Raw genomic sequence first — 15,955 nt, 5'->3', positions numbered from 1 at the left:
TATCCAGTCCACTGTTGATGGGCTTCTAGGTTGATTCTGTGTCTTTGCTATTGTGAATAGTGCTGTGATAAACATACGCATACCTGTGTCTTTATGGTAAATGATTTATATTTCTTTGGATGTATACCCAGTAATGAAATTGCTGGGTCAAATGGTAGTTCTATTTTAAGTTCTTTCAGAAATCTCCAGACTGCTTTCCACAGTGACTGAACTAATTTACATTCCCACTACCAGTGTATAAGTATTCCCTTTCCTCCACAACCTTGCCAGCATATGTTATTTTTTTGACTTTTTAATAATAGCCATTCTGACTGGTGTGAGATGATATTTCACTGTGCTTTAAATTTGCATTTCCCTAATGATTAGTGATATGGAGCATTTTTTCATAGGCTTGTTGACCGTGTGTTTATCTTCTTTTGAGAAGTGTCTATTCATGTCCTTTGCCCATTTTTAATGGGGTTGTTTGTATTGTGCTTGTTGATTTGTTTATGCTCCTTATAGATTCTGAATATTAGAACTTTGTTGGATGTGTAGTTTGCAAATATTTTCTGCCATTCTGTATACATTGTCTGTTTGCTTTATTGGTAGTTTCTCTTGCTGTGCAGAAGCTCTTTCATTTAATTCGGTCTCATTTTTCAATTTTCGTTTTTGTTGCAATTGCTTTTGGCATCTTTGTCATGAAATCTTTGCCTGGGCCAATGTCCAGAATGGTATTTCCTAGATTTTTTTCTAGGGTCTTTATAGTTTTAGGTTCTCTATTTAAGTCTTTAATGCATCTTGAGTTGATTTTTGTATATGGTGAAAGTTACAGGTTTAATTTTAATCTTCTGCATGTGACTAGCCAGTTATCCCAGCAGCATTTATTAAATAGGGAGTCCTTTCCCCATTGCTTGTTTTTGCAACTTTGTTGAAGATAAGGTGGTTATAGATATATGGCTTTATTTCTGGGCTCTGTATTCTGTTCCATTGGTCTATGTGTCTGTTTTTGTATCAGTACCATGCTGTTTTGGTAACTTTTTTTTTTTTTTTTTTTTGAGATGGAGTCTCGCTGTGTTGCCTAGGCTGGAGTGCAATGTCAAGATCTCAGCTTACTGCAACTTCTGCCTCCCAGGTTCACGCCATTCTCCTGCCTCAGCCTCCCAAGTAGCTGGGATTACAGGTGTCTGCCACCACGCCTGCCTAATTTTTTTTTTTTTTTTTTTGTATTTTTAGTAGAGACGGGGTTTTACTATGTTGGCCAGGCTGGGCTTGAACTCCTGACCTTGTGATCCACCCACCTTGGCTTCCCAAAGTGCTGGGATTACCAGCGTGAGCCCCCTCGCTGTGCCTGGTTACTCTATCTTTATAGTATAGTTTGAAGTCAGATAGTGTGATGCTTCTGGCTTTGTGCTTTTTGCTTAGGATTGCTTTGGGTATTTGGGCTCTTTTTTGGTTCCAAATGAATTTTAGAATGTTTTTTTCTAATTCTCTAAAAAATGTCATTGGTAGTTTGACAGGATTAGCATTGAATCTGTAAATAGTTGTGGGCAGTATGACCATTTTTAAAATACTGATTCTTCCTATTCATGAGCGTAGAATTTTTTTCATTTGTTTGTGTCACCTCTGATTTTTTTCAACAGTGTTTTGTAATTCTCACTGTAGAGCTCTTTCACCTCCCTGGTTATCTGTATTCCAATTCCTTTTTGTTGCTGTTGTGAATAGGATTTCACTCTTGATTTGTCTCTCAGCTTGGATGTTATTGGTGTATAGAAATGGTACTGATGTTTGTACATTGATTTTGTATCCTAAAACTTTGCTGACATTGTTCATCAGATCTAGAAGCCTTTGGGCAGAGACTATGGGGTTTTTTGGGTATAGAGTCACATCATCCATGAAGAGAGAGAGTTTGACTTCCTCTCTTCCTGTTTGGATGCCTTTTATTTCTTTCTCTTGTCTGATTGCTCTGGCTACGACTTCTAGTGATATGTTGAATAGGAGTGTGGGAATGGGCATTTTTGTCTTATTCCAGTTCTCAAGGAGAATAGTTCCAGCTTTTGCCCATTCAGTATGATATTGGCTGTGGGTTTGTCATAGATATCTCCTATTATTTTAGGATATGTATCTTTGGTGTCTAGTTTGTTGAGGGTTTTTAATATGAAGGGATTTGAATTTTATCAAAAGCCTTTTCTGCATCTGTTGAGATGTTCATGTAGTTTTTGTTTCTGTTTATGAGATGAATCACTTTTATTGATTTGCATATGTTGAACCACACTCTGTATCGCAGAAATAAAGCCTACTTGATTGTGGTGGATTAGCTTTTTGATGTGCTGCTAGGTTTGGTTTGCTAGTATTTTATTGTGGATTTTTACATTTATGGTTGTCAGGGATATTGGTCTGAAATTTTCTTTTTTTTTTGTTGTGTCTCTGCCGAGTTTTGATATCAAAATGATGCTGGCATTATCAAATGAGTAAGGCAGGAGACCTTCCTCCTCAACTATTTGGGATAGTTTCAGTAGAATTGGTACCAGCTCTTCTTTCTATATCTGGTAGAATTGGGCTGTGAATTTTTCTGGTCCAGGGCTTTTTCTGGTTAGTAGTTTTTAAATTACTGATTCAATTTTAGAATTCATTATTAGTCTGTTCTAGTATCCATGTTCTTTCTGGTTCAATCTTGGGATTGAACCAGATTCCAGGAATTTATCCATTTCTATTATGTTTTCTAGTTTGTGAGGTATTCGTAATATTCTTGGTCAGTGGTAATGTCCCCTTTGTCCTTTCTAATTGTGTTTATTTGAATCTTCTCTCTTTATTAGTCTAGCTAGCAGTCTATCACTCTTATTTATTCTTTTAAAAAACCCACTTTTGGTTTTGTTGATCTTTTGTGTGGTTTTTCCTGTCTCTGTTTCATTCAGTTCAGTTCAGCTCTGCTCTTCTTCTGCTACCTTTGGGGTTGGTTTGCTCTTGTTTATCATATTCCTCTAGGTGTGATGTTAGGTTGTTGATTTGAGATCTTTCTGACTTTTTGATGTGGGCATTTAGCACTATCATCTTTCCTTGTAACACTGCTTTAGCTGTGTCCAGAGTTTCTAGTATGTTGTATGTTTGTTTTCATTAGTTTCAAAGACTTTCTTGATTTCTGCCTTAATTTCATTGTTTACCCAAATGTCATTGGGGAGTTGATTGTTTAATTTTCACTTAATTGTTTGGTTTTAGTAGATCTTCTTGGTATTGATTTCTGGTTTCTTTGAGTTGTGTTCCAAGGGTGTGGCTGGTAGGATTTTTTTTTTCTAATTTGTTGAGAATTGCTTTATGGCCAAGTATGTGATCAATTTTAGAGTATGTGCCATGTGCAGATGAGAAGAATGTACATTCTATGTTGGGTGGAATGGTCTGTAGATGTCTGTTAGGTCCATTTTGCCAAATGTCAAGTTAAGGTCCCAAATATCGTTGTTAGTTTTTCTGCCTCAACAATCTATCCAGTACTGTCAGTGGGGTGTTAAGGTTTCCCACAATTGTTGTATAGTTATCTAAGTCTCTTCATAAGTCTCTAAGAACTTATTTTATTAATCTGGGTGCTCCAGTATTGTGTGCATATATATTTAGGATAGTTAAATCTTGTCATTGAATTGAATACAGAGCTACTGCCAGTAGGAATGTTCAGTTGGGTGTGGGATAGATGCTCCTGGGGGCCTTGCCTTGTGAAGAGTACAGGGTGGGCACTCACAAGGAAGAGAGACTAGGCTCCTCTCTGTTTGGCAGTTGTGGTATCCTGGAAGTGGCAGTGAAGTGACCAGTCCCTTTGTTCCTTCTCTAGAGTAAGGGCAATAAGCGCAGCACCACTTCAGCTGCAGTGGCAGAGTGGCTGTGGGTTGTCTCTGGGATTTCCTCATCAGTAAAATGCAGAGCTGCCACTGACTGAAGTGTTCAAGTCGGGGCAGCAGAGTTGTACTGGCAGCCAGGTAGAGAGGCCCTGCCCAGTGAAAAGTAACAGGGACAGGGACCCATATGGAAGGCGTCCCGGCTACTTTTCCGTAAGGCAGCCATGCTGTGCTGAAGCACAGTCATCCTTAAGCTCTTTCTCATGAGCCCGAGGCCAGTAGGAGTGGGGCTGCTCAGTGGCAAAAATGGTGGGCCTGCCTATTACCTCTGGGGGCTCTGTCCCAGGGAAATGCAGAACTGCTACCAGCCTGAGAGCTCAGGTGGGGCTGGGGTGGTCATGCTGGGGGTCCCAGGCCGGTGGGCCTTGTCCAGCAAGGTACAGCAAAGGCGAGGCATTCAGTCTGCCCACTCCTCAGCCCTATATATAGGTTTGGCCTTTATCCTAGGGGCATGAGAGAGAGCCTGGCCTCCCCCATTGCTGGAGCTATAGCTACTAGTTCCATGAGCTAGTAGGGGTCCAGGGCCCCTTGGTCTCTGCATGTGCCTGAGTGGTGGCTTTGCCCAGACTCCATGCAGCTCTCTGTGTCGGTGCAGAGGCCTTAGGTGGAAGGGGTCAGGAAGGATCTTCTGAGCTCAGGGTTGCAAAGGTCCATGGCAGAAGTGTGGGTGCCCAGGGGCTCTCACTCACCATTTCCCCACATTGATTGGGGAGTCTCCCTTGGCTCCACACCAATCCTGGGTGAGCAGCTATCCTGTCTCACTCCTCTCTGTTCTCCATGGGTTGCATTGCTTCCTTGATGAATCCTCGAATGTCCTCCTGGATGATTCAGTTGAAGAGCTGATGTTTACTTACCACTCTGTCTCCTCTCCATGAGAGCAGTGCACACTAGCTGCTTCTAGTCAGCCACCTTTTGTAGTTTAAATTTTAGTTCAGGTTTTAAAACCTTTGCTATGCTTCTTTTGATCTGTGCAACCTTTACGAAGCTCAGGGATAAGCCCAAGTCTTGCATAGGCTCATATACAGACTTAGATGATCCCCCTTTCCAGCTCTCTCCTCTCTGGAAATTACCACACATTCTGGCCTTCTGAGGCCTCTTTTCCTGGTTCCTCTGTCTAGAAAGATAGGTTTTTATTGCAGTTTTAGCCACTCATGCTGCTACTCTTCTGCACAGTTCTGTGACTAGGGCCTTTCCTTGGGGGAAAAGCCATGAGATAGAAAAACAAAGACCTGGGAGACTTACCTGTTGGAGGTAGCACCTCAACATTTTTGACTACCTTCCATGACTGACTGACTTTTATTTACTTTTCAGAGTCCTCAGGTAGTTATTTCATTTTATCTAGAGCTTTAGAGGGAGAATTAGGCTATAGTGGGCTTGTCCTACCATACTGGAGGTAGGACTTTGAAACTATGGTTAAATGTTTTATTGTTTCTTTATATGAGTCATGGCACAAGAAAGTAAGTTCCATGAGACCAAACTGTTTTCGTAGCACTTAAACATTATTAAAAGTGCTAGATTTATAGAAGGACTCAAATTGAATGGGAAACATGTTGATATGTGTGCTGCTTGTTAGAAAAGGAACAGGTCTTTATTACAAATGGAAGTGTGGCACCAGACATCACCTAGTGTCATGTGTTACAGAGACAAGCACTAGCAATGAAAAGAAAATCTACATCCCTCAACAATTAAGAAGTATGTATCATCTCAAAGTATAATTAAATCTAATAGTTTTCAATTTATTTGGAGTGAAGCAATAGATTATTTGCAAATAGTATCTTTTAAACACAGAGTATTATCCACAAGTAAAATTTGTATTAGTTTATTTGAGCTATCTTATGAACTATATATTTTTAACTTTAAAAATATTTTTATTGATACATAATATTTGCACATATTTATGGGGCATATGTGATATTTTGTTAGTTGCATAGACTGTGTAATGATCAAGTAGGGATATTCACGATATCCCTCACCTCAAGTATGTGTCATTTCAATGTTTTGGGAACATTTCGAGTCCTCTCATCTAGCTATTTTGAAATATACGTTGTTGTGAACTATAGTCACCTACTCTGCTATCGGACGTTAGAACTTATTTCTTCTATCTAACTGTATGTTTGTACCAATTAACCAATCTTCCTTCATCCTCTGCCCACAACACACATACCCTTCCCAGTCTCTGGTAACCATCATTCTACTCTCTACCTCTATGAGATTAGTGTTTTAGCTCCCATGTATGGGTGAGAACATGCAATATTTGTCTCTCTGTGCCTGGCTTATTTCACTTAGCATAATGACCTCCAGTTCTGTCTATGTTGCTGCAAATGACAAGATTTCATTCTTTTTATAGCTGAATAGTATTCATATATATATATATATATATATATATATATATATGATCACATTTTCTTCATCTATTCATCAATTGGTAGATAGATACTTAGGTTGGTTCCATATTTTTCCTATTGTGAATAATGCTGCAATAAACATGGGAGTGCAGGTATCCCTTTGACATACCAATTTCTTTTCCTTTGGATAAATACCCTGTAGTGGTATTGCTGGATCATATGGTGGTTCTAGTTTTAGTTTTTTGAGATATATCCATACTGCTTTTCATAATGGCTGTACTAATTTACATTCCCACCAACACTATGAAGAGTTCCCTTTTCTCTGAATCCTTGCCAGCATCTGTTATTTTTTGTCTTTTTAATAATAGCCATTCTAACTGGGGCAAGATGATATCTCATGATTTTTGATTTGCATTTCCTTGATGACTGGTAATGCTGAGTATTTTTTATATACTCGTTAGCCATTTGTATGTCTTTTGAGAATTGTCTACTCGTGTCCTTTCTCCACTTTTAAATGGCATTTTTTTTTGTTTCTTTTTTTTTTTTTTTTTCTTTTTGCTGTTGAGTTGTTTGAGTTCCTTGTATATTCTGGATAATAGTTTCTGGTCAGATGAATAGTTTGCAGATGTTTTCTCCTATTCAACGGTTGTTTCTTCACTCTGCTGATTGTTTTCTTTGCTGTGCAGAAGCTTTTTAGTTTAATATAGTCCCATTTTTCTGTTTTCATTTTTGTTGCCTGTGCTTTTCAGGTCCTAGCCATAAGATATTTGACTAGACCAGTGTCCCGAAGTGCTTCCTGTGTGTTTTCTTCTAGTAGTGTTATATTTTCAGATATTTCTTTTAAGTCTTTAATCTACTTTGAGTTTATTTTAGTATATAATGGAATATCTACCTTATTCTGCATATGGATATTCAATTTTTGCAGAACCATTTATTGAAGAAAGTGTCCTTTCTCCCATGTATGTTCTTGGTGACTTTGTCAAAAATCAGTAAGCTGTAAAAAAAATGTGGATTTATATTTAGGTTCTCTATTCTGTTCTATTAATTTATATGTCTATATTTATTCAAATATATTTTTATTTGGGTTACTATATCCTTGTAACTGTTTGAAGTCAGGTAGTATGATGCCTCTAGTTTTGTTCTTTCTGCTTAAGATTGCTTTGATTATTTGGCCTCGTTTTTGTTTCCATATAAATTTTAGAATTATTTTTTCTATTTCTGTGAAAAATGGCATTGGTATTTTGAGAGAAATTTCATGGGATCTGTAGGTTACTTTGGGTAGTGTGGTCATTTTAACAGTATTAATTCCTCCAATCCACAAGCATGAGATGTCCTTTCATTTGTTTGTGCCCACTTCAATTTCTGTCATCACTGTTTTGTAGCTTTCCTTGGAGAGCTTTTTTCCCACTTTGGTTATTTCTATGTAGTTTACTTTTTGGTAGGTATTATAAATGGGATTTCCTTCTTGATTTCTATTTCAGCTAGTTCATTATTAGTGTAGAGAAATGCTACTGATTTTTATATGTTGATTTTGTATTCTGCAACTTTACTGAATTTGTTAATCAGATCTAATAGTTTTTTGGTGGAGACTTTAGGTTTTTCTAAATATAAGATCATGTCATCTGCAAAGAGGGATAGTTTCACTTCCTCTTTTCCAATTTAGATGCTTTTTCTTTTCCGCCTTTCTCTTGTCTGATTGCTCTGGCTAGGACTTCCAGCACTATGTTGACTAGTATACAGTGGTGAAAGTGGGCATCCTTTCCTGTTCCATTCCAGATCTTATAGGAAAGGCATTCAGCTTTTCCCCATTCAGCATGATGTTAGTTGTGGGTTTGTGATATATAGCCTTTATTATGTTGTGGTATGTTACTTGTATGCCTAGTTTGTTGAGAGTTTTTTTTTTTTAACATGAAGGATGTTGAATTTTATTAAGTGCTTTTTCTGCATCAATTGAGATGATCATATGGTTTTTGTCCATCATTCTGTTAATGTGATGTATCACATTTATTGATTTGAATATGTTGAATTATCCTCGCAACCATGGGATATATGACACTTGATCATGGTGTATAATCTTTTTGATGTGTCGTTGGATTTGGTTTGCTAGTATCTTGTTGAGGATTTTTGTGTCTGTGTTCATCAGGGATATTGGCCTGTAGTTTTTGATGTTGGGTCCTTGTCTGTTTTTGATATCAGGGTAATGCTGGCCTTATAGAATGAGTCAGGGAGAATTCCCTCTTCTTCCATTTTTTTGAATAGTTTGAAAAGAATTCATGTTAGTTTTTCATTGAAAGTTTAGTAGAATTTGGCAGACATCTGGTCCTTGGTTTTTGTTTGTTGGAAGACTTTTTGTTACTGATTTAACATCATTACTTATTATTGGCCTGTTCAGGTATTCTATTTCTTCCCGATTCAATCTTGGTAGGTTGTATGCATCCAGGAATTTATCTATTTCTACTAGGTTTTAATGTGAACTTTTTTGTTTCTGGTTTTGTTTGAGTCATTTCACTTTTTTTCTTGGTTAGTCCAGCCAGAAGTTTATTGATTTTGTTTATCTTTTAAAAAATCAGCTTTTGGGAGAGGAGCCAAGATGGCCAAATAGGAACGGCTCTGGTCTACAGCTCCCAGCGTGAGCGACACAGAAGATGGGTGATTTCTGCATTTCCATCTGAGGTACCGGGTTCGTCTCACTAGGGAGTGCCAGACAGTGGGCGCAGGTCAGTGGGTGCAGCGCACCGTGCGCGAGCCCAAGCAGGGCGAGGCATTGCCTCACTCGGGAAGCACAAGGGGTCAGGGAGTTCCCTTTCCTAGTCAAAGAAAGGGGTGACAGATGGCACCTGGAAAATCGGGTCACTCCCACCCGAATACTGCGCTTTTCTGACGGGCTTAAAAAACAGTGCACCAGGAGATTATATCCCGCACATGGCTCGGAGGGTCCTACACCCACGGAGTCTCGCTGATTGCTAGCACAGCAGTCTGAGATCAAACTGCAAGGCGGCCGTGAGGCTAGGGGAGGGGCGCCTGCCATTGCCCAGGCTTGCTTAGGTAAACAAAGCAGCCGGGAAGCTGGAACTGGATGGAGCCTGCCACAGCTCAAGGAGGCCTGCCTGCCTCTGTAGGCTCCGCCTCTGGGGGCAGGGCACAGACAAACAAAAAGACAGCAGTAACCTCTGCAGACTTAAATGTCCCTGTCTGACAGCTTTGAGGAGAGCAGTGGTTCTCCCAGCACGCAGCTGGAGATCTGAGAACGGGCAGACTGCCTCCTCAAGTGGGTCCCTGACCCCTGACCCCTGAGCAGCCTAACTGGGAGGCACCCCCCAGTAGGGGCACACTGACACTTCACATGGCCAGGTACTCCTCTGAGACAAAAATTTCCAGAGGAACGATCAGACAGCAGTATTCGCAGTTCATGAAAAACCGCTGTTCTGCAAACACCGCTGTGGATACCCAGGCAAACAGGGTCTGGAGTGGACCTCTAGCAAACTCCAACAGACCTGCAGCTGAGGATCCTGTCTGTTAGAAGGAAAACTAACAAACAGAAAGGATGTCCACACCAAAAACCCATCTGTACATCACCATCATCAAAGACCAAAAGTAGATAAAACCACAAAGATGGGGAAAAAACAGAGCAGAAAAACTGGAAACTCTAAAAAGCAGAGCACATCTCCTCCTCCAAAGGAATGCAGTTCCTCACCAGCAATGGAACAAAGCTGGACAGAGAATGACTTTGACGAGTTGAGAGAAGAAGGCTTCAGACGATCAAACTACAAGCTACAGGAGGAAATTCAAACCAAAGGCAAAGAAGTTAAAAACTTTGAAAAAAATTTAGACGAATGTATAACTAGAATAACCAATACAGAGAAGTGCTTAAAGGAGCTGATGGAGCTGAAAGCCAAGGCTCGAGAACTACGTGAAGAATGCAGAAGCCTCAGGAGCCGATGCGATCAACTGGAAGAAAGGGTATCAGCAGTGGAAGATGAAATGAATGAAATGAAGTGAGAAGGGAAGTTTAGAGAAAAAGAATAAAAAAAAACAAACAAAGCCTCCAAGAAATATGGGACTATGTGAAAAGACCAAATCTATGTCTGATTGGTGTAGCTGAAAGTGACGGGGAGAATGGAACCAAGTTGGAAAACACTCTGCAGGATATTATCCAGGAGAACTTCCCCAATCTAGCAAGGCAGGCCAACATTCAGATTCAGGAAATACAGAGAACGCCACAGAGATACTCCTCAAGAAGAGCAACTCCAAGACACATAATTGTCAGATTCACCAAAGTTGAAATGAAGGAAAAAATGTTAAGGGCAGCCAGACAGAAAGGTCGGGTTACCCACAAAGGGAAGCCCATCAGACTAATGGCGGATCTCTCGGCAGAAATTCTACAAGCCAGAAGAGAGTGGGGGCCAGTATTCAACATTCTTAAAGAAAAGAATTTTCAACCCAGAATTTCATATCCAGCCAAACTAAGCTTCATAAGTGAAGGAGAAATAAAATACTTTACAGACAAGCAAATGCTGAGAGATTTTGTCACCACCAGGCCTGCCCTAAAAGAGCTCCTGAAGGAAGCGCTAAACATGGAAAGGAACAACCGGTACCAGCGGCTGCAAAATCATGCCAAAATGTAAAGACCATCGAGACTAGGAAGAAACTGCATCAACTAACGAGCAAAATAACAAGCTAACATCATAATGACAGGATCAAATTCACACATAACAATATTAACTTTAAATGTAAATGGACTAAATGCTCCAATTAAAAGACACAGACTGGCAAATTGGATAAAGAGTCAAGACCCATCAGTGTGCTGTATTCAGGAAACCCATCTCACGTGCAGAGACACACATAGGCTCAAAATAAAAGGATGGAGGAAGATCTACCAAGCAAATGGAAAACAAAAAAAGGCAGGGGTTGCAATCCTAGTCTCTGATAAAACAGACTTTAAATCAACAAAGATCAAAAGAGACAAGGCCATTACATAATGGTAAAGGGATCAATTCAACAAGAAGAGCTAACAATCCTAAATATATATGCACCCAATACAGGAGCACCCAGATTCATAAAGCAAGTCCTGAGTGACCAACAAAGAGACTTAGACTCCCACACATTAATAATGGGAGACTTTAACACCCCACTGTCAACATTAGACAGATCAACGAGACAGAAAGTTAACAAGGATACCCAGGAATTGAACTCAGCTCTGCACCAAGCGGACCTAATAGACATCTACAGAACTCTCCACCCCAAATCAACAGAATATACATTTTTTTCAGCACCACACCACACCTATTCCAAAATTGACCACATAGTTGGAAGTAAAGCTCTCCTCAGCAAATGTAAAAGAACAGAAATTATAACAAACTATCTCTCAGACCACAGTGCAATCAAACTAGAACTCAGGATTAAGAAACTCACTCAAAACCACTCAACTAAATGGAAACTGAACAACCTGCTCCTGAATGACTACTGGGTACATAACGCAATGAAGGCAGAAATAAAGATGTTCTTTGAAACCAACGAGAACAAAGACACAACATACCAGAATCTCTGGGACACATTCAAAGCAGTGTGTAGAGGGAAATTTATAGCACTAAATGCCCACAAGAGAAAGCAGGAAAGATCCAAAATTGACACCCTACCATCACAATTAAAAGAACTAGAAAAGCAAGAGCAAACACATTCAAAAGCTAGCAGAAGGCAAGAAATAACTAAAATCAGAGCAGAACTGATGGAAATAGAGACACAAAAAACCCTTAAAAATTAATGAATCCAGGAGTTGGTGTTTTGAAAGGATCAACAAAATTGATAGACTGCTAGCAAGACTAATAAAGAAAAAAAGAGAGAAGAATAGACACAATAAAAAATGATAAAGGGGATATCATCATGGATCCCACAGAAATACAAACTACCATCAGAGATTACTACGAACACCTCTACGCAAATAAACTAGAAAATCTAGAAGAAATGGATAAATTCCTCGACACATACACTCTCCCAAGACTAAACCAGGAAGAAGTTGAATCTCTGAATAGACCAATAACAGGATCTGAAATTGTGGCAATAATCAATAGCTTACCAACCAAAAAGAGTCCAGGACCAGATGGATTCACAGCCGAATTCTACCAGAGGTACAAGGAGGAACTGGTATCATTCCTTTGAAACTATTCCAATCAATAGAAAAAGAGGGAATCCTCCCTAACTCATTTTATGAGGCCAGCATCATCCTGATACCAAAGCCAGGCAGAGACACAACCAAAAAAGAGAATTTTAGACCAATATCCTTGATGAACATTGATGCAAAAATCCTCAATAAAATACTGGCAAACCGAATCCAGCAGCACATCAAAAAGCTTATCCACCATGATCAAGTGGGCTTCATCCCTGGGATGCAAGGCTGGTTCAATATATGCAAATCAATAAATGTAATCCAGCATATAAACAGAACCAAAGACAAAAACCACATGATTATCACAATAGATGCAGAAAAGGCCTTTGACAAAATTCAACAACCCTTCATGCTAAAAACTCTCAATAAATTAGGTATTGATGGGACATATCTCAAAATAATAAGAGCTATCTGTGACAAACCCACAGCCAATATCATACTGAATGAGCAAAAACTGGAAGCATTCCCTTTGAAAACTGGCACAAGACAGGGATGCCCTCTCTCACCACTCCTATTCAACATAGTGTTGGAAGTTCTGGCCAGGGCAATTAGGCAGGAGAAGGAAATAAAGGGTATTCAGTTAGGAAAAGAGGAAGTCAAATTGTCCATGTTTGCAGACGACATGATTGTATATCTAGAAAACCCCATTGTCTCAGCCCAAAATCACCTTAAGCTGATAAGCAACTTCAGCAAAGTCTCAGGATACAAAATCAATGTACAAAAATCACGAGCATTCTTATACACCAATAACAGACAAACAGAGAGCCAAATCATGAGTGAACTCCCATTCACAATTTTTTCAAAGAGAATAAAATACCTAGGAATCCACCTTACAAGGGACGTGAAGGACCTCTTCAAGGAGAACTACAAACCACTGCTCAAGGAAATAAAAGAGGATACAAACAAATGGAAGAACATTCCATGCTCATGGGTAGGAAGAATCAATATCGTGAAAATGGCCATACTGCCCAAGGTAATTTATAGATTCAATGCCATCCCCATCAAGCTACCAATGACTTTCTTCACGGAATTGGAAAAAACTACTTTAAAGTTCATATGGAACCAAAAAAGAGCCCGCATTGCCAAGTCAATCCTAAGCCAAAAGAACAAAGCTGGAGGCATCACACTACCTGACTTCAAACTATACTACAAGGCTACAGTAACCAAAACAGCATGGTACTGGTACCAAAACAGAGATATAGATCAGTGGAACAGAACAGAGCCCTCAGAAATAATGCCGTATATCTACAACTATCTGATCTTTGACAAACCTGAGAAAAACAAGCAATGGGGAAAGGATTCCCTATTTAATAAATGGTGCTGGGAAAACTGGCTGGCCATATGTAGAAAGCTGAAACTGGATCCCTTCCTTACACCTTATACAAAAATCAATTCAAGATGGATTAAAGACTTAAACGTTAGACCTAAAACCATAAAAACCCTAGAAGAAAACCTAGGCATTACCATTCAGGACATAGGCATGGGCAAGGACTTCATGTCTCAAACACCAAAAGCAATGGCAACAAAAGCCAAAATTGACAAATGGGATCTAATTAAACTAAAGAGCCTCTGCACAGCAAAAGAAACTACCATCAGAGTGAACAGGCAACCCACAAAATGGGAGAAAATTTTTGCAACCTACTCATCTTGACAAAGGGCTAATATCCAGAATCTACAATGAACTCAAACAAATTTACAAGAACGAAACAAAGAACCCCATCAAAAAGTGGGTGAAGGACATGAACAGACACTTCTCAAAAGAAGACATTTATGCAGCCAAAAAACACATGAAAAAATGCTCACCATCACTGGCCATCAGAGAAATGCAAATCAAAACCACAATGAGATATCATCTCACACCGTTAGAATGGCAATCATTAAAAGGTCAGGAAACAACAGGTGCTGGAGAGGATGTGGAGAAATAGGAACACTTTTACATTGTTGGTGGGGATTGTAAACTAGTTCAACCATTGTGGAAGTCAGTGTGGCAATTCCTCAGGGATCTAGAACTAGAAATACCATTTGACCCAGCCATCCCATTACTGGGTATATACCCAAAGGACTATAAATCATGCTGCTATAAAGACACATGCACACGTATGTTTATTGCGGCACTATTCACAATAGCAAAGACTTGGAACCAACCCAAATGTCCAACAATGATAGACTGGATTAAGAAAATGTGGCATGTATACACCATGGAATACTATGCAGCCATAAAAAATGATGAGTTCATGTCCTTTGTAGGGACATGGATGAAATTGGAAATCATCATTCTCGGTAAACTATTGCAAGAACAAGAAACCAAACACCGCATATTCTCACTCATAGGTGGGAATTGAACCATGAGAACACATGGACATAGGAAGGGCAACATCACACTCTGGGGACTGTTGTGGGGTGGGCGGGGGAGGGATAGCATTGGGAGATATACCTAATGCTAGATGACGAGTTAGTGGGTGCAGCGCATCAGCATGGCACATGTATATGTATGTAACTAACCTGCACATTGTGCACATGTACCCTAAAACAAAGTATAATAAAAAAATAAAAAAATAAAGTATTACAGGCAAGCATTACTCTGTGCTGCCTTTTAGCAAAGGTTTGTTTTAACCAAATCAAAAAAAAAAAAAAAAAATTCGCTTTTGGGCCGGGCGTGGTGGCTCACGCCTGTAATCCCAGCACTTTGGGAGGCTGAGGCGGGCAGATCACCAGAGGTCAGGAGTTCGTGACCAGCCTGCCCAACACGGCGAAACCCTGTCTCTACTAAAAATACAAAAAATTAGCCGGGCATGGTGGTAGGTGCCTGTAATCCCAGCTACTTGGGAGGCTGAGGCAGGAGAATCGCTTGAACCTGGGAGGCGGAGGTTGCAGTGAGCCAAGATCATGCCACTGCACTCCAGCCTGGGCGACAAGAGCGAAACTCCATCTCAAAAACAAAAACAAAAATACCATTTTTGTTTTGTTGATCCTTTGTATTGATCTTTTTAGTCTCTATTTCATTTAGTTCTGCTCTTATATTTGATCTTCATTATTTCTTCTACAGATTTGGGGTTTGGTTTATTCTTGCTTTTGTTTCTTTGAGGTATATCATTAGGTTGTTCATTTGAGAGCTTTGTGGGTTTTTTTTTTCTGAGGTAGATGTTTGTTGCTATAAACTTCTATTAGCATTGCTTGCCATATCACATAGGTTTTGGTATACTGTATTTAAATTTTCATTCGTGTCAAGACATTTTTTGATTTCCCCCTTAATTTCTTCCTTGACCCAATGGTCATTCAGGAATGTGTTAATTTCTGCTTGTACAGTTTCTGAAGTTCCTCTGGTCATTGATTTCTAATTTTATTCCATTTTGGTCTGAGAAGTTACTTGGCATAATTTTGATTTAAAAAATTTGTTGAGGTTTGTTTTCTGGCCTAACATATGATCTATCCTAAAGAATGTCCCATGTGCTGATGAGAACAATGTATATTCTGCAACTGCAATTTACAGAATGTAATTCTGTAAATATCTCTTATGTCCATTTGGTCTAAAGTGCAGTAAGTCCAATATTTCTATGTTAAATTTCTATCCAGATGGTCTTTCTTATGCT

General features: G+C 39.4%; 1 long non-coding RNA gene across 1 annotated transcript in view; it reads left to right on the top strand.

The window, feature by feature from the left end:
* PIK3CA-DT (PIK3CA divergent transcript) overlaps window positions 1–15,955 on the top strand; it is a 46,603-nt gene that overhangs the window by 6,330 nt on the left and 24,318 nt on the right. The window contains exon 2 of the long non-coding RNA NR_125401.1: window positions 8,773–8,875. This is a non-coding gene — a long non-coding RNA (PIK3CA divergent transcript). The remainder of the gene's footprint in view (window positions 1–8,772; window positions 8,876–15,955) is intronic.

The sequence above is a fragment of the Homo sapiens genome, chromosome 3 (genome assembly GCF_000001405.40).
Source record: "Homo sapiens chromosome 3, GRCh38.p14 Primary Assembly".
NCBI lineage: Eukaryota > Metazoa > Chordata > Mammalia > Primates > Hominidae > Homo > Homo sapiens.
This window is presented reverse-complemented; position numbering and strand designations above follow the sequence as displayed.